Genomic DNA, 19,011 nt, shown 5'->3' with positions numbered 1-19,011 from the left:
GACTCTGTTTGGGGGTTCCAACCCCACATTTTCCTTCTGCATTGCCCTAGTAGAGGTTCTCTATAAGGGCCCCGCCCCTGCAACAGACTTCTGCCTGGACACCCAGGCATTTACATACATCTCTGAAAACTAGGCAAATGTTCCTAAACCTCAACTCTTGCATGCTACACACTCACAGGCCCAACACCACATGGAAGCCACAAAGGCCTGGTGCTTACACACTCTGAAGCAGTGGCCCAAGCTATAGCTTAGCCTCTTTCAACCATGGCTAGAGCTAAAGCAGCTGGGATGCAGGGCAAGGGCACCATATCCCAAGGATACACAGAACATCTGGGCCCAGGGCCTGGCCCACAAAATCATTTTTCCCTCCTAGGCCTCCAGGCCTGTGATGGGAGGCGCTGCTGTGAAGGTCTCTGAAATGCCCTGGAGGCATTTTCTCATTGTCTTGGCTACTAACATTCAGCTCCTCTTTACTTATGCAAATTTCTGCAGCCTTGAACTTCTCCCCAGAAAATGGGTTTTTCTTTTCTACCACATGGTTAGGCTGCAAATTTTCTAAATGTTTATGACCTGCTTCCTCTTTAAATATAAGTTTCAATTTTAGACCATCTCTTTGTGAATTCTTATGAGCGTACACTGTTAGAAGCAGCCAGGCCAATTCCTGAATGCTTTGCTGCTTAGAAATTTCTTCCAACAGATATCCTAAATCATCTCTCTCAACTTCAAAATTCCACACATCTCCAGAGCACAGACACACAGTCTCTTTGCTAAAGCACAGCAAGAGTGACCTTTACTCAAGTTCTCAATAAGTTTCTCATCTCCATCTGAGACCTCTTCAGCCACTTCACTGTCCATATTACTATCAGCATTTTGGCCACAACCATTCAAAAAGTCTCTAGAAAATTCCAAACTTTCTCTCATCTTCCTGTCTTCTTCTGAGTCCTCTAAACTGTTCCAACCTCTGCCCATTACCCAGTTCCAAAGTCACTTCCACATTTTCAGGTATCTTTATAGCAATGTCCCACTACTCTGATACCAATGTTCTGTATTTTCCATTCTCACACTGCTATAAAGAACTACCTGAGACTGAGTAATTTATAAAGAGGTGTAATTGACTCATAGTTTCATAGGCTGTACAGGAGTCATGGCTGGGGAGGCCTAAGGAAACTTACAATCATGGTAGAAGATGAAGGGAAAGCAGGCACATCTTCACATGTTGGCAAGAGAAATAGAAAGAGTGAAGGGGGTGAAGTGCTACACACTTTTAAACAACCAGATCTCATGGGAACTCACTGTCATGAGAATAGCAAAGGAGAAATCTGCTCCAATGATCCAATCACCTCCCACCAGGTCCCTCCAGCACCGAAGTTCACAAAGCAACCTGAGATTTAGGTGGGGACACAGAGCCAAACCACATTAAGTAGAAATAATATTGGCAAAGTCGAGGAAAAATATCTTTAAGGCAGAATGTAAAGGCCCAATTTTTAAAGAGTATCCATTATGAGTCGAAAGTTGAAATCATAGGGAAGTGGCCAGAGATTGGGCTAGAATGGCAGGAGAGAGCAGAGGAACCATGCAGGGACACAGGCAGGTGACCATTTTAGAGAAGTAATGGATGCAGAGGGTAAAATGTGGGCAAGCCTGCTTATGGAAAAGTGAAAGAGGAGATCATCACTGAAATGCTGATGGAGAATAATGTTGGCTTTGTCCAAAGAAATAAAGCTGCAATGGAGACAAAAAAAAATACACTCAGTTCAGAGACATACAATGGTAAAAAGTGTTGATGAGTGGAGAGTTGAGGAGACAGTGAAGTAAACACTGAGACCCAGAATTTTGATTTGTATAACTGATTTGAAGTTCAGTTCAGTCATTGGGAGGGGGAATTATTTTGTAGAAGAAGATTGTGTTCACTCTCTGACATGTTTACATTTACCTTTACCTGTACCATAGTACAGGTGAGATATGCTTTTCAGTTACCCAGTGACGCTTTTAACATATGAGCTGGGATCTTAGAAAAGAGATCTTGGCTGGCAATATGAAGATTTAAAAATCATCAGCATAATACTGATAATTGAAACCATGGATGTGAATATGATGAAGCAGAGAGGAAGAAGAGAACTCTCAGAGCTTAATGCTGATGTTCAGCAAAAGATCCAGGGTGAGAATCCTGCAAAGGAAACTGAAGGTGTGGTCAGAGATGAGTGAAGCCAGCCAGGAGAGCGAGGCGTGTGGAAGCCAAAGTTTAGCAGGAAAAACTGAGTGTTGGCTGCTGCTAAGGATAAGGAGGAAACAGATTAAACACTGCCCTTTGCATTTAACAACAGGGTCATTGGCAGTTTTGTTGAACACTTTTGATGGAACCGTAGGCGCAGAAAACAAATTTCAGGGTGAGTGTCTTGTAAAGCTGTAGAGGGAACAACTAGACATGTCTTTTAAGAAGCTTGGCTGTGAAGAGGAGAAGGAGAAGGCTACAGGCAGCTAAAGAGGAAAGATCGGCATTTAGACCAACTCATGGGGTGTTTTCTTTCTTCCTCTCTCTCTTTTACTTTTGGACATATATTGTTTATGTTTTTGGTTTTTATTAAGCTGCAGAGTTACAAACATATTTAAATGTTGACAAGAAACAGCTAATAGAGAGGGAGAATTGAAAATAAAAAATACTGAAAAAAAGTAAGTTGATTCAGGGAAGACACCAGCCATGCATCCACCATGTCCTCCATCTAAGCTGGTATATATTTGGTTGTCAAAAACTAAGAAAAAATAGGACATAAACTGTACATAGCCTTCCTCATGACAATTAAAACTAATTTAATCAAATCTAGTTCCTTAAGTCACCAAAAATCTGAGTTTTCTTTAATTCAGAGTATCCTTTAAAAAAGAAAAGAAAATATGCAATCTGGGACTCCCAGAAGCACCAAGTTATCCCTCTAAACGACATCTGTGGTGAGCAACCAGGTGCTTTGTTCTTTCTGCTCTACCTCCCACAGATCTTTTACTCAGGACACATTTAGAACCAGCCAAGGCCAACAGATCCCTGACATCAATTCTGAGCTTTCCTAGAATCCAATTCTCTACCTCAGGACTGAATTAGCCCCCAGGGGTGAGAAGAAGCAGGTGTCTGTCATTTTTCTGGTATTCATAGGGAGTCTGGCTCATTTTCTGAAGCCAATCCTTTCAGGTGTAATCAATTCTTACTTTTCTTACCTCCCCTTCAAGATTTGCCTTGTCATACATGGCAGCTCTTTACTGCATACGGCTACCAAAGGTAATAGCATGCACTGGCAACTATGCCAGTGGGTGCTGCAGCTATATCTTTTTGCAAAAGGACTATGAGCCAGCCAAGGAAATCCTGTTCTACTTTTCTCCTCCTACCTCCCTCTGAGTCAATATGTGACTCTTCCAGTCTGTCAGATCTTAATCTTCCAGGCTCCAAAGTAAAGTGACTAAAAAGCTATCCCTGTGAGAACCTCTAATGAGCAGTTTCTAACCCCACTAGCAGCACATCACTGATGAAAGCAACACTCAGTGTAGGGCCTGCCGTCATCAGGAGCACGGATGGGAAAGAAACCCTGTGGAAGCCATGGATTCCCCGTGGGCTCTAGCATCATCAACAACTATTTTCTTCTGCAGAAGTCATTCTGCTGGCTCTGCAGACAACAGAGTAGAAAAGAAAGAAGGAAATTAGATAGCGAGGAGAAAGAAGAGAGACATTAGCTCTGCTTAAAAGCACACCGGGGATGATGGCTTCCAGCAAACACCTCATGTTCTCACTCATAAGTGGGAGTCGAACAATGAGAACACATGGACACAGGGAGGGGAACATCACCGCCTGTTGGGGGTGGAGGGTAAGGGGAGGCAGAGCATTAGGACAAATACCTAATGCATGCGGAGCTTAAAAACTAGATGATGGGTTGATAGGTCCAGCTAACCACCATGGCACATGTATACCTATGGAACAAACCTGCATGTCCTGCACATGTATCCCGGAACATAAAGTAAAATAATTTTTTAAAAACCACACTGAGAGAACATTTTTAAAATTTTTTTCAGGAATAAAGCTGAAACTTATGAAGTAACTTGCTTGAATTGCCTAACTGGAGTGTCAGTAAAGGCTTGAAAATGTTTGTAGCAGTGTCAAAATAAGCAGTGAATAGTGGGAATACCAAGAACAGTACTGAATTTCTGAAATTGATGTAGCTACTCTGCCTCTTCCTGTAATCGTTAGAACTTGCAAGAGATTGCTGAGGAAAAAATAGTGACACCCTTAGTGTCTTGCTTTGAAATCACTCAGCATAGGAGATAATTATGATAATGTATACAACATCTTTCCTTCTGCCAATGATCCTTTTCATCAATCTCTCTATTGTTTTTCCCAACAACATGATGGGTAGTAATAGGAGGCTCCAATTCTCTCTCTTTTTTAAATACCATTAATGCTCGCTGAACCACATTTAATTAAGGGAACATATATTGATACGCATAGCATAATCGGGTCAGGGACTGGAGCTGAAATTGATTGAGGACAGCTCTTTCACACTTATTTCAATTTATGAATGCTCAGATGCAGACAGATAGTGAAAAGGATTTAATTTCCATTTGTGTTGTTTGCACATTCTTTATAATGTAAGCATTAATTGAACATGCTCAGTGTCAGTGCAGAGCACTCAAGCATATCCATTTTTCATAAATGAAGGTCACAGGTCAAACTTGAGCAAGTTTCAAGCAATCTAGCTATAGAAATGTGTTTATATCGGATCAATCATAATGTGAAAGACTAGAGATCCAGAAAATTAGCACTAGGAGAGGGATGCCACTTCAGCTATAGAATGGCACCTCCTGGAAAGCACACACTAAGGATTTGCAGCCCTTCACCTTGCAATGTTGCTTTGGCACTTGGAGCGCACTTCTGAAGGGTCCCTCCACTTTGCTTCTTGATGCCACTCTCCCCAAAGGATGAATTCCAGCTGCTGAGCCAGGGGGTGCTGTTGTTAGCTAAGATTTAATTTGGTGAGGAGAGAGGTGATGATTTAAATCCACAAAGTGTTCTGTCCATTCAATCCACAAACACTTATGAAGGGCTTACTATTTGCTGAATACTGTGTCAGACACTCTTTGTGCAAACTGAATAATGTATTTTCCAGATGAATGTAGGGCTATTTTTTAAAATGTATGAAGATATCAGCTTTCCAGGTAAAATGGAAAATTTATAATAGCTTTTTTCTCATAGTGTATTTTCCCAATTTGATGTTAATACCTTTATATTTTAAACATTGACACTGGATTAGACTATTTTGCACATTTCTTGATTTTAGCATGAATTCAACTTAAAATTGACTTGTATATTTCCTATAACACAATCCAAGTTCCCCGTATTTTGATCTAATAATTCTGTAATAAAAAGGAGTTGCACTTGTTACTCTTGTCTAAAAATGTGCAAAATTTCTCACATTTACAGTAATATTCTCCACATATCGAACTCACAGTAACATAAAAAGAAAGTAGGGAAAGCTTTCAGAAATCCATCTTCTCTCCTGAGAGTAAGCATTTTACCCACATAAACAGTCTTACCTGTTTATCTCTTCATCAACAAATGTAATTTGACTCACTGCCTCAGAGACGTTGAAATCATCACTGTATCCTGCCTCTTCCTACTGTGCCCCTAGAATTTTCAAGAGTTTATGTCCAAGAATCTTGTAAACTTATTTTATATTTCATCCTTATGAAGTACATAGTAAGTTCACTAAGTCAGTCAGCTATACCACTAAAATTTGCATCTGATTTGACATTTTAATCTTCATAAAGACATTGTCGAAAAGTTAAAAGAAATGATAATTGTAATCAGGTGAGCTATTCTGTGTCACAACCAACTTCTGTATCTTGCTTCACTCAGAGAAACAACAGCAAAAAATTAAGAAATATTAGGGTCAGACAAATATTTTTAAAGTTACCTTTTAAGGTAGACTAGAGAAGTCAGTGAAAGGGAAATTAAAAAGGTAAGTCACATGTTAAAGAAACCATATTGAAAAGAGCAAAAATGTGACTTACACTTTTGTAACACATATTCCTAGTTTATTTCTTTCCTTAATTTATGAAAGATGATTTGAACAAAAACTTGCCTCTAAAATGGGATCCAAAAGGAAAATATTAGGGCCTATGGGAAATTTTTATTAAATAGTGTATTTCTGGGAATTAAAGAGGTTTTTTCCCTGATTCCCTAGCCTAAAACGTAACAAGAAAGAGGGCAAGCATCTTACTATTTAAAAACAAAAACTACTATTAGAGGGAGCAGTTTGATGTTTTTACCAGAGGAAGAGACTGGGATTGTCCCATCCCCCATGCTTCCTGTCCCCTCTGATAAACATCAAACATTTTTATATTTAGTCATATGAGTGACATGGTAATTCTCTGTCCTCTTTTCCTCATGTGGATTAATTTAATAAATTGATCTTTGTTCAAGGTCTCGAAACTTTGAGGGGAAAGATATTGCAGCACATACTAGAGAAAATATGAATATAGTTATTGTTAGCAGATTAGGAAGGAAAAAAAAGCCCTAGAGACAGGAAAAAATAGATGACTTAAATGTCCAGGCTCGGAGAGGAACAAAAATGCATGTTGTGCGGCTCTATTGTCTGTCGGCATGAGACTTTCACTCTTGAGAAAGAAGATATTCTTAAACCGGCAGATTCCAGGGGAAAGAGAGTGACAAATTCTAATTGGAAGGTCATTGATGGTGAACAACATGCACAATGCCTCTAAACACTGCACATGGAAAAAGAAATGTCGTAGATGGTATCTTCTTGGAAAAATGAAAGGAAATTATTTGAAGACAGTGTGTGAGGGCTGCTCTAAGAAGAGTTATTAAGTGGCCTCTAACACTCTATAGAAAAGTCCCCATAGGCTGCTTTTTGATCTGGAAAAGTGCTGTGTCTTATCACATATATTCTGTGAAATAGTTGAAGAAGCACAGGTCTCCAATCCCAGAGTTTGGCAGGTAAACAATCTTTTCTCAGACAGAAAGGAAAACAGAAAAGACATTAAATGAAAAACGATACATATAAGTAGCAGAATAGGGTGGCATGTCTAGAGATTAAAGTTTTTTGAACTATTATTATTGTTTTCTTTCCCTTTTCATGGCAAAGTAAGCAGGAAAAAAACACACAGAACAGACTTAGTGTTTATTTGTGGAAGGTGATGTTCTACTAAATTAACAGGGAGGGTTACTGGATGTTTCTTATTAAATTTAGTAGCAGTTGATCCATGTGAAGTATTTGCTTTTCCAAGTTATGAAAATATTGGAATTTGCTTATCTCTCATTTCCTTTGCAGCCATTAGGTTCCCAGAGGAAAAATGATTATCAGTCAAAACTGGAATTGTATTTTCCTAACATACATGACTTTAATTTTTATTCATTTTTAATGAGTTCCAGTTTGTGATTGCCCTTAAAACAAAAGACAGTGATCTTTATAGTAATCGCTTAAACTCATAGTTCTGTCTAGAACTATACTAAAAGAGCATGTAACCTTATTTCCAAAATACAGAAGTTAACCAATTTGAAAAAATGAAAAATAAGATGCTAGCTTATGTTAAGTCAACAAAAAAAGAAACATATGAATTTCTCTTTCAAAAAGTCTAACTCACCAAAACATTATATTGCACATCTTAAATATGTACAAACTTTATTTGTCAATTATACCTCAATAAAGCGAAGCAGGGATTCATATTTGTACCTTGTGATCTACTAAATGGGGAGTTTGTAAACTATGGCCTGTGGGCCAAATCCAGCTCCTGGCCGGGATACAGTTTGGTGTACCACACAGCCACGCCCATTCCTTCACACCCTGGCTGGGTTTGCACAGTCACAGACTGGAATAATTATGACAGTGGCCATAGGGCCTTATTAGTATGTTAATATTATTAACAATTCTGAGAAATATTATCTCAACATCCCTAATTATGTAACAATGCCTCATTGTTATCAAATGATACAATGGTGTGAAGGAATATTTATGAAGTTATTGAGCGCCTAGCATGTATGAAACACCTCGCTAAGGACTCAGGATAAAAGAGTACTTCTCCTTGAGGAGGACACAGTCTGATGGGGAAACAGGAGTGTACACAGGTGATTTTCCACAGCGTGCAGGAGTGCTCTGATGAAACTAGGCACAAGATCCAATGGGACCTCAAAGATTGCGAGCCCTGCCTGCTGGGGGCTGTTGTGCTGGGGTTGGGGGAGTGTTATTGGAGGAGTAATAGCCAAGTTTATTTTTCAAAAAGGAGGAAAAGTTATTGGGGCAGTGGAGGGAAATGCCGATGATGACAGTGGTGGGGACAGGGATGCAGGGATCGAAAACCAGTATGGTATTGGGAAGCATATTGGTAAACCAGAGAGTCTCAAAATATGAGGCTGGCATGGAAGGAAGAGATGAGTCGTGGCATCTTCTGTGTTGTACCTGGGGTTTAGGCTTCGTCCTGTGAGTAAATAATGCTTCTAGCATCAGGGAGCAGCAGAATGGAGGGCCCTATGTTGCTGTTTGTATGTGAAGGGTGTGTACAAAGGAGGATGGAAGAGAAGACTGGGTCAGACTCTATTAATGCAGTTAGGAGAAAGACTATTTGTGACTGAGCTAGGAAGGGTGACAATAAGCATGGGAAAAGGAGAATACATTGGGGAAATATTATAGTCACAGAATGTAATATCTGGTTCAATGTAAATGATGCTGTGTTAATGTGTGAAGGAAATCATGTCTAAAACGTAACAAGAAAGAGGGCAACCACCTTATCGTTATTTAAAAACAAAAACTACTCTTAGAGGGAGGAGTTTGATGTTTTTACTGGAGGAAGAGACTGGAGATTGTCCCATCCCCCGTGCTTCCTGAACAAAAATTCTCTCAGTTTTTTGCTGCAGATATTGAGGGTTCCAGTGTGATCAAAGTAAATAAGAAATGGGTTAGAAGAATCTGGCATAAAGGGAATGATGGAGAGACCTATTTAAATATGTTGTGTTTGCCATGCTTACGAGTAAGTACATCTAAGTGAGTGTGCTCCATGGGCATTTGGATGTATGATCTGAAACTAAGTAATTACCATAAAGGCATAATTAATATCACCTTGATCTTGGAGGGCATGGTGAAAGGGAACAGTGAAAGAAAGAAGATAAAACCCTATGGTAAAAAAATAGTATGAAGAGACAGCTGAAGGCTTCCATGGAAGGGATGAGGAGAAAGTGGGAGCAGGATAGCATGGAGCAGCAGATGTGAGAAAGAAGGGGCGCAACCAGCGCCAGAAGAACAGAAAATCAATGAGATCAAGAAGGGAGAAATAAAAACGTGCATTCAACTGGCAATTAGGAGATCACAGGTGGCTCTAGAAAAAGGAATTTCAGTGGAGGGAGGGGAGGAGGGAATCCCGGTTGCAGCAAGGGGAGAGAGTAGATGCAAACCAATCTTCTAAGATGTTTGACCGAGCAGGACAGTGGGGAAACTGGTCATTATCCTTTGGGGGTGACCACCACCAGAGATCCCCACAGCCACCAAGGACAATAGCGATCTGAAGAGGTGTTTTCATTCTTGGCTGCTGGAAAATAGCCAGGAGACCAAGAAAGGATGAGGATCTCAACTAAAAAGAGAATAGTTCATGAAACAATGTTTTGGCAAAAATGGAATCAAAATAATGGAGGAAAAGGATCCTTTCCCTTTCCTTTTGTCTAAAACCTTGTACCACCTCCCTTCCCAAGGCAGGCAGCCAAGGCAATATTTCATTAACCCAGCCTTCAGCTGTCCCTTCATACTATTTTTTTTTACTATAGGGTTTCATCTTCTTTCCTTCACTGTTCCCTTTCACCACGCCCTCCATGACCAAGGTGATGTTAATTATGCCTTTATGGTAATAACTTAGTTCCAGATCATACATCCAAATGCCCGCAGGGCACTCTCACTTAGATGTACTTACTCATAAGATGGGACAGCTGAATTTCAGGTTTGGGGAGCCCATGTCTGACCTGGTTGGCTTTCTCAATGATGAAGGAGTGGGTTAGAAGTGGATTATGAGTGAGTTCATGAGGTGCATTTGAAGCAAATGTTAAGTCTCTGAAAGTAATTGGATGGGACCTGGCAAAGGACAAGTAGAAGTATTTTTGAACGGCAAGAATGGATTTTTTGAAAAAGTCTTAACAAACAATTTGAAATATTTTCTTTCCAAAGAAAGAAAATTTGCTTTCATTCCCATAGAAAGAAGCTATTTGGAAATGTTAATGGTGGTCTCCTGAATTTCCTTGTACCAATTCCCTTCCCAAGGCAGGCAGACAAGGCAATATTTCATAAACTTTAGTTACTTCCTCCCCTCCTACTTGATTTTCACCATCTCAGTGAAGAACCTGCATGCTTTCATTGCTTTCTTTTTTTCTCTTAATTCATTTATTTCATGAAAAATTATTTCAAAAGGAAACTTAACAACACAAAACTAAAAGGGAAGGTGCATCTCACTCTGTTTTAAGTAGAAGGTAAGCACAAACTACATGAAATTTTTAAAAGGAGGCTATTAATTTGTACCTAAATACTATTCTCAGTGAAAGTCTGAGTCTGTGCCCCTACTCTATGTTAAAGAGAGAGATAGTGAGTGTACTCGGGTGATTTGATGAGCGTGGGTTTCCTAGCAGAATATTTCTCTTTGGCCTAATCAGGAGTGATAGAGAATTAAAAAGCGAATCACTTTATCACAATGTGATTCAACACCATTTAATGCATGGAGCCTGAATTCCTCCTAAAGCCACTCAGTATCACCTGTGATGCTTGTCTTACAATTTGTAAAAACTGGGGTTGGGGATTCTACATTCATTTCCTTGGGAGAAGGAAGATGCAGAGAAAAACGCAGAGCACATAATGGAGATGCGACTGGAGCTCAGGTTTGGGGCTGCAGAGGCAGGCCTTAGGAGCAGGTGTGCAGCTCAGAGCAAGGCTGCCCCGCTCCTGGTGGCCGGAGTCACAGACACACAAGAGAAATGGCATGGGGTCCTCCGGACTGGGAAGGGGGATGTGAGAAATCTGTGGACGCTGCATACCCTGAGAAACGGGCTCAGCACCTGGTGCTCCTGCCCACGCTGGGGGGAGGGAGGGCAGTGAGGGAAGCCCTGGAGCAGGCAAAAAATCCCACAACAGAGGGAACCGGGGGCCCTTCCTCAAGTAGAGTCTGAACTCGTGGCAAGACCCCAGAGTAGAAATGGCTCCGTTGTCACAAGGTCCCAGCATGCCTGGCTTCAGTCCCTGGTACAAATCTAGTCTGAGGGGATGTTTTATGTAACCAGTAGGGTTTATAGAAATGTTGGATTTCAATCCCTTCAGTCTGTACTTCCCAGGTGACTCTGACCCCTCCACAACTCATTCTTACCTGCTCCTACTTTCTCACACGTTGTCTCGGCCTCTCTCTCTCCCTGTCCGGAAGATAGCTGTGTTTGTAGCCCATGACTAAGTGATCAAGCCTGGAAGATCCCTGGGTGATTCCTGGGGTCCCAGTGTGCCTGGGAAACAGGAAAACGACTCCTTCAGTCTCCAGAGATTAGACAAAACCCCAAGAAAAGGGACCGAATCAAAATTATGCTCCAGCCACCAAGCTGAGTGCATACTTGAAATAAGAATGAAGTTTAGTTCTGGAAGAATGGAATGCTATTTCCATATAGTTTGGGGTAGGCTAAGTTAGCTATGAATATGAAAGTGAGCAGTCACTAATTGCAGAGCAGATGTCAAAGACCTGGTTTGAAATATTTGGCTGATTGAGATAGAACCAAAAGACAAAGTGGGTCCTGTACCCAGGTGCACCGGCGCTAGAGCAAGACCAGACAAAGGCTGTGTAGCCACTATGGGATGGTTTTATGCAATCAAAAATTAATTCCTGAGAACCAGATGCCGATGAGGACATAGCCTGCCAGAAGCGCCTCCTTAAGAGAGTAGAGATTAGAAACAGGACCCAGCCAGCCTGCTGGGGGAAGCCCCCATGAAGGAAGCTGTACCAGCAACCGATCCTAAGCTATGAGCCCAGAATTCCTGTCTGTCTCATCCATCGTGGTATCACCAGTGTCTTGCACCTTCAGAGTAGTTAAAAATGTTCAATGTGTGTTTGACTAGGATGAAAAGAATAGCCAAATATAAGAAAACATATAGACTACCTAGTGTACTGAAATGTGATGTTGTTAACAACAATTTTGGAGGGAAAACAAAAGTTCAATTTAAAGCCTAAAAGAAATACTGTTTTTCTTGAATGTGACTTCCTCACAGAGATCTACCATAGTTGTCACTTTATTTGAAATTGTACTCTCCTCTCCCCTCCTGTCTCATTCCTAAGCCCCTTACCTTGATCTGCTTCTTTTAAATTCATATCTGCCTTTTACTTTTCTTACTTGTTGTGTCTGTTCTAACTAAAATGTCATCTCTGCTTTGGGAGTGTATCAGCCCAGAGCGGCTGTGCAGACTAGCACGGACATCTCAGCAGCTCCCTACTCAGGGTTCCTTTTCCTGCAGGAATCAAACAGGGAGACTTTGCTCATCAAAGTCACTCTGAGATCCAGGCTAGTGGGGGCTCAATCTTGACATACGCTACTGTGACTTCAGATGCCATGGATCAAAGGTCACATGAACCACTCCCTGAAGAGACTGAAGGGAAACGGATGGTTCGTCCCTAGGGAAGGACAGCCAATGTGGATGAGGAAAAACCGCAATCTACTCCACCACGGGGCTCTGCTGTCTCTCCTGCACTCGTGTCCCACGCACACAGAACAATAACTAGCATGAGGCAGGTGCTCAGTAATTGTTTTGTTTTCCAATTTCTTCCAAATTTCCAGGTTTTACAGCTATCAGTGCCAAAGCACACAGTGTTTCATGTACTCTGGGGAAGCATGTGCGCTTGCTGTGGTAATGCTGCCATGGAAAAGCTATGATGAAAGAAGTTGCATTGTGCTGCAGAACATGCATCCCAGGCTTCATCCAGCCAGGGGGAAAAAAGAAACAGTCACTTCTTTCTGAAAACACAACATATTCTGATAATAGTTTCCATCTTATAAATGAACTAGAAGCCAATTTTTTTTTTCTTTTCTGGGCTTCTCCTCCCTGAAATTCCAAGGACTGCCTCTATGTGTTCAAGAATTCATTTTTAAGCACCAATTGAAGGCTCTCAGTGAAGTGGGCTGGTGGAGAACTCCTACATTGCTGACTCAGCAAGCCCAGCGCTGGCTTCCTCAATCACTTCTAGCACTCTCAGGACGCTGACTGTGGGCTCTGGTGCCAGGAGAGCCATGATGTCCTGTGTTTTCCTTAGACAGGGTCTGGCCAGCTAATGGGTCTTGCTGACAAGACCTCCCTGTTCTTTGACCACTGCTGCAGATGCTGACCGTTCACTCAGTAGATCATGTTCCTTTCAAGTTCATGTTCGGTCAAGAGCACCCCACAGCAAAGCGACAGGAATCAGTTCCACCATGTTTGGTGCTCACAGGCGACTTCAGCACACTTGCATACAGCATTTTCTCTGGGACATGTCCAAACACCACAAAGAGGTGGCTGAAAAACCTGGGGTCCGGCACCAGCAAGACAGAAGTGCAAAGATCCAGTTTCTACTTGCCTGAGATGGAAGTCCAAATTCAGACTCCACTTTCCCTTAGGGCGTCTTTCCTCTAGGGCCCTCAGACATGTCCCGACAACTTTTAACCACAAGTGGATGACATCACTGTCACCATCACTCTGACCCTACAAGAGCTCATTGCTCCCAAGTATGTGAAAGGAAATAAGAACACTGGGCTGGAGGTCCACTTACCCTATGCCCTGATAGTTTATAAGCATCAGGCTCCTAACAAATTTAACATCCTTAAATTGTCACAGCCAAAAGGGACCAATCCAGACTTTGCAGAACAAAAAGACTCTCCTCCTTAAAGTAAAATGCCAATCTATGAACCAGAAGGCAGAAACTGCTCAGAAATTTTTTTAAAAAGCAGTTTTCTAGCTTTAAAACTCTGAAGGTCCAGAGCATTATAGTTAATTAACTTTATTAATGAGAGCATTTTTAGAATATTTTCACCTGTTCCTATTTTTGGCAAGTCATACAGATTTGGCAAGTCTCAACAGATTTCTAATCTGTTGAGAATCATAGAATATGGCTTTTGAAAAGCTGTATGTTGAGAGGACAGAGACCAGGCAATAATTTGGAACACCTTTTTACAGACAGGCTGAGTGACGTCAGAAAGTGCACTTAACTACCTGGGCTTTCAACTCCTTTCTCATCAAATAAAAGACGAAAATCAGGGTATCTCTGAGGATCTCTCTCTTTTATTATGTAATTCTAGGGTTCATTAATCTGTGCTAGCGTGGACCTTGAAACACACGGTCTGAGTGCTGCCATTCTTTTTTAGATGTTTCTTCATGATCTTGTGGAAAGTCTTCTTTGAGTATGGCATTTCAACTGAAGATGATGACCTTCCGTGAAGCAACTGTACAATTGCAAAGAAGAAAATGAAAACTCCTGTGATGATATTAGAAGACATGGAAAGAGCATTTTCAGTGTCCTATAAGAAGATCTTCCAGTGATATTGGTAATTCAAAGGAATGGAAAAATTACTAGATATGCAACGTGCAGGCCATTTTTATATTACAGCAGATAGCTCATCTTTTAATCAGTCTGTTTTTCATGAGTAGTGGGCACCACTTGTAATGACTACAATTGAATTCCAAATGGAGAAGTCTAAGTTAATTAACTAAAGGCTTTGAAAAATGTCCGAAAACTATTATTTTCTGGTAATTGTCCCTTGCCAAAAAGAAATACAGAAAAAAATTAGATGTTGAAACTATTGATAAAGTGTGTGCCATTGAATTTTCTCATTAGTGCCTGCATTCCTTTGGAGAAGAAGGAGGCTGAGTGGTCCATTGTTTAGCTCTCTTTTGCAGTGAGAAAGAGGTTCATCTATTTTAAAGATTGGATTTAAGGTTTGGTGTATTTGATTCAATTACTGTCAGATATTTGGGGAATACTTTATTTTTATTTAATTTCCCAGGATAGAATCATTTATATACAGTTGTAAAAATCAGGGCTTTGATCTATTTCTCATAAGTTTTTAAATATGATACAGCTCACAAAGTGAGCTGCCCAAAATTTACACGCAAAATTAGTTATTTATGTGATATGATAATTAAAATAACAGAATCCACTGCATAGTATAGCAGTCCTAGTTTCCAATAATTAGAGTTAAATTCCAAAAAAGGAGCAAATAAATTGCAATAAATTTTAAGTATTTTCAAATTTTAAATAAGATTAATATTTTTAAAAATTGGCCCTTTAATTTGTTTTCCATGTTTAACTAAACAGAAAGTGTTTAATTTATATAAACAAAATATAGATGTCCATCAAGAAAATAATGCAGTTTGAAGAGAAAAGTAAATCATATTTTTATACAGTTTTAATAATGTTTTTAACAACTTTATGTCTATTTTATGTTTGTTATTTTATTTGATTAAATTTAAAAATAAGCACAGTGACAGCAGCTAAATAAATTATAGATTTTATATTAAAGATTATGGGCTTAAAACATATATATATTTCCCAAAACCTCTAAAATAACAAGAAGTATATATTTTAAGCCATCAATCTATAAAAACAGAAAGAACCTAGTTTTGAAACCTGGAACACAAGTTTATGAGTTGCAACTGAAATAACAGAGCCAGGAAGGAAAATAAAAACTGGCCTTGGGAAAAGCTAAAAAGTCATCTAATTTACACTGTAAATGAATACTCCCCACCCCATAAAAACACACAAATTAGTGGGCTCAAGTGCCTTGGGAATTAAAAGTGAATTTCAGAGATAAAAGTTGTATTTTTTGAAAATGCTTTTAAGAACTTGTTCAAAACCTTTTCCAAATCCCACACAACTAAGAAAACACTGTGTATGGGTGACAGCAAAACAGAGAGTCTCTGCGACGGTTGGAGACGGAAGTGTCACATTGAAAGAAGGGTAGTTCATGAATGTTTACATTTGGAATGCTGACAATTTTAAATGACGACAACAATCTTTTTTGTCTTCTTCCTCTCAGATCCCAGAATGTTAACAGCCAGAACACTGATTTTCTGACAGTAAGTCAAAATACTCATATCAGGAATTATGACCAGCCCAAGAAGAACTTCTGGGGGTATCAACTCCTGGTATAACAGCGTTAGGGAGCTACAATGACTAACTCCCTAGTGAAGCTGGTAGAAAGCATAAAACATACATACACACACACACACACACAACCATTTAATGCCTCTGGAAGTGGTCCTAAGGGCAAATATCTACTCAAGAATGTCTATGAGATTTTGGTAAGAAAGATAAGAGACTGTGTGAACAAAGACAGCTTCATTGCTCCTCACTCCCAGTCCCACAAGGCAGAGACTCCACTCCAGAATGCTATATCCAAAAATACAGGGTTGCCTGTCCTCCCAGTACTCATGTGAAGGGCTTTCTTCCTAGGAAGAGCAGGACAGTAGCATCTCTTATCCTTTCCCCACATCCTGTTGTTGAGTCTAAGTCCTGGGAAAGTTTAGTCCTCTCTTTCACCCAGTTTCTACTTATGGAATGGAAGCCCTACCTTGGCCATCAAATGCTACAACTACAGGGATCCTGATCACTCTTGCCCAAGTTCATGTTGTAATGTATCCATGCCAAGAGAGGCAAGCCAAGAGTACTCCCAGCCTCCTGCATTTAGTATCTAAACTAAATAGCTACCATTTAGTTTAGATACCTCTGATGTACTGAGAGTAAACAAAACAATAAAAATTCTCAAACTCCGCCAAATTTCCAATTATATTAATCCAAATTCCACACACTGAAGGAATAGTAGAAGAAAAAGAGCACCCATTTTTAATACAAAGTATATTTATCTGTTTCTACACGGGAATGTTCATCTTCTAAAAGAAGTAACAATAAAATGAGTCATTAAAATTTTAAAAGGCAAACAAATGGACAAAAAATTCCAAAAGACAAAGCAATCAACAAAGCCAGACTCAAATAACACAATCATGTTGGAACTATTTGATAGGTACTGTAAGATAACTATAATTAATGTCTTAAAGTTTCTAGTGGAAAAGGTGAATAAAATGCAAGATCAGATGAAAAATTTCAGCAGAGACATGAATATTATTAAAAGAAACTAAATGCAAATGTTGGAGAGAAAAACAATAACATAAAGGAAGAGTATCTTTGATAAGATCATAGACTCCAGTGTTACAATTTTTATAGTGTCAGGAACTGTAGCAGTATTTTGTCTTGAGGTCTCTCTCTTGAAGACAACCATAAACCAAGATAGGCACTCTCTAAGAGAGCTCTGATGAGAGAGTTAGGTTCAGAGTGTGTGTCACGTGAGACACAATGAGAAAGTAAAATCAAAATGCATGAAGCAGACAAAATTTATTACTCGTGGGTCTCAGAGAGGTAGGAGTACTGACAGGCGGCCAATAGAAAGGCTGAGGCTGGCAGAGAGCTCAGCCAGTGAGTGAGGAGACAGAAAATGAGTGAGAGCCAGAGAGAGAGAGGACCTATGGGACTGTGTCTGTATTAAGGTCCATGGGTGTTTTCCCTTAGGCTTTCCAGCAGCAGTTGTGAATTGGGTAATTTAAGGAAAACGTTAATGAAGGAGGAAACTAATTTACATAACCCTGGTGTTGAGCATCATGCTTGATCATAGTCAGCAGCTTTGGGGTGTGTTGGGTTTTGTGTCAGTGAGATAAGGAACAAACAGACTGCATGGAAAACAAAGGGAGGGAAGTTTAAACTAGACCAAAGTTGATGGGGTATGACTGAGTTTCAAGTAACATGTCAGGCCTCAAAATGGATGCTAAGGCAGCAACTATATTAAATAAATTTATGACATTAGTAAAAATGAGAAAAAAAAAAGTCAGTGAACTTGAAATAGATGAATACAATTTACCCAAACTCAATTTTAAAGGTTAGAAAGGATAGAAAAAATTACATAGCATATAAAAATTGTGGGACAATATGGAATGACTCAATAAATGGTTAACTGAAATCTTAAAATAGAGAGAACAGATAGATGATAGACAGATAGACACATAGATAGATAGATAGTCTACACACTATATATGAAGTAGTAAAATATAATTTGAAGATAGAATTTTATTAGTTAAAAACATATGTTAACAACCTCAAGGAAACCAGGAAATATATTTTTTAAAAGGTATAAAAATTAAGTTCTTATAGAAGAAAAAAGTAATTATTCAAAAAAAATAATCAATTGAAACCAAAGAAGACAGAAATATAAAAATAAAACAACATAGAAAATAGAAAACAGTAAGCAAGGTAACATATCTCAATACAAATCTATCTATCTATCTATCTATCTGTCTATCTATGAAAGCACCAAAATTAACGGCAGGCATCAATCTATAGAACCACGAATACCAGAGAACACAAAGTAAGATAAACACCAAATAAACAAAAAACAAATAAATAAACAAAATAATATCCCACCCAGGAACGATATATTCAGAAATATTATATTTTATGAATATTGTGTTTCTGAAAATTAAACACAAAGAAAAATTTCTGAAGACAAAAATGACAAAAGAGACACATTACATAAAGAGGAACAAATTATAGGATACTACTTAAAAGAAACCATGAAGGCCGGGGGCAGTGGCTCACACCTGTAATCCCAGCACTTTGGGAGGCCGAGGTGGATGGATCACGAGGTCAGGAAATCAAGACCATCCTGGCTAACATGGTGAAACCCCGTCTCTACTAAAAATACAAAAACTTAGCCAGGCTTGGTGGCGGGCACCTGTAGTCCCAGCTACTCAGGAGGCTGAGGCAGGAGAATGGCGTGAACCCAGGAGGCAGAGCTTGCAGTGAGCCGAGATCACACCACTGCACTCCAGCCTGGGTGACAGAGCAAGACTTCATCTCAAAAAAAAAAAAAAAAAAAAAAAAAAAAAGAAACCATGAAATCCAGAAAGTAATTGAGTGATAATTTTTAAGTAGTAAAAGAAAAAC

The 19,011-nt window shown here is 39.6% G+C and overlaps 1 long non-coding RNA gene across 1 annotated transcript; it reads left to right on the top strand.

Moving 5' to 3' along the window:
- The first annotated feature begins 8,029 nt into the window (after positions 1-8,029).
- Positions 8,030-16,119, top strand: LOC105379712 (uncharacterized). Its single transcript, XR_001744457.2, has 3 exons — positions 8,030-8,119; positions 14,387-14,566; positions 16,058-16,119. It is a non-coding gene; the product is annotated as an uncharacterized LOC105379712 (long non-coding RNA).
- Positions 16,120-19,011: the final 2,892 nt, after the last annotated feature.

The sequence above is a fragment of the Homo sapiens genome, chromosome 6, assembly GCF_000001405.40.
Source record: "Homo sapiens chromosome 6, GRCh38.p14 Primary Assembly".
NCBI classification, from domain to species: Eukaryota; Metazoa; Chordata; class Mammalia; order Primates; family Hominidae; genus Homo; species Homo sapiens.
This window is presented reverse-complemented; position numbering and strand designations above follow the sequence as displayed.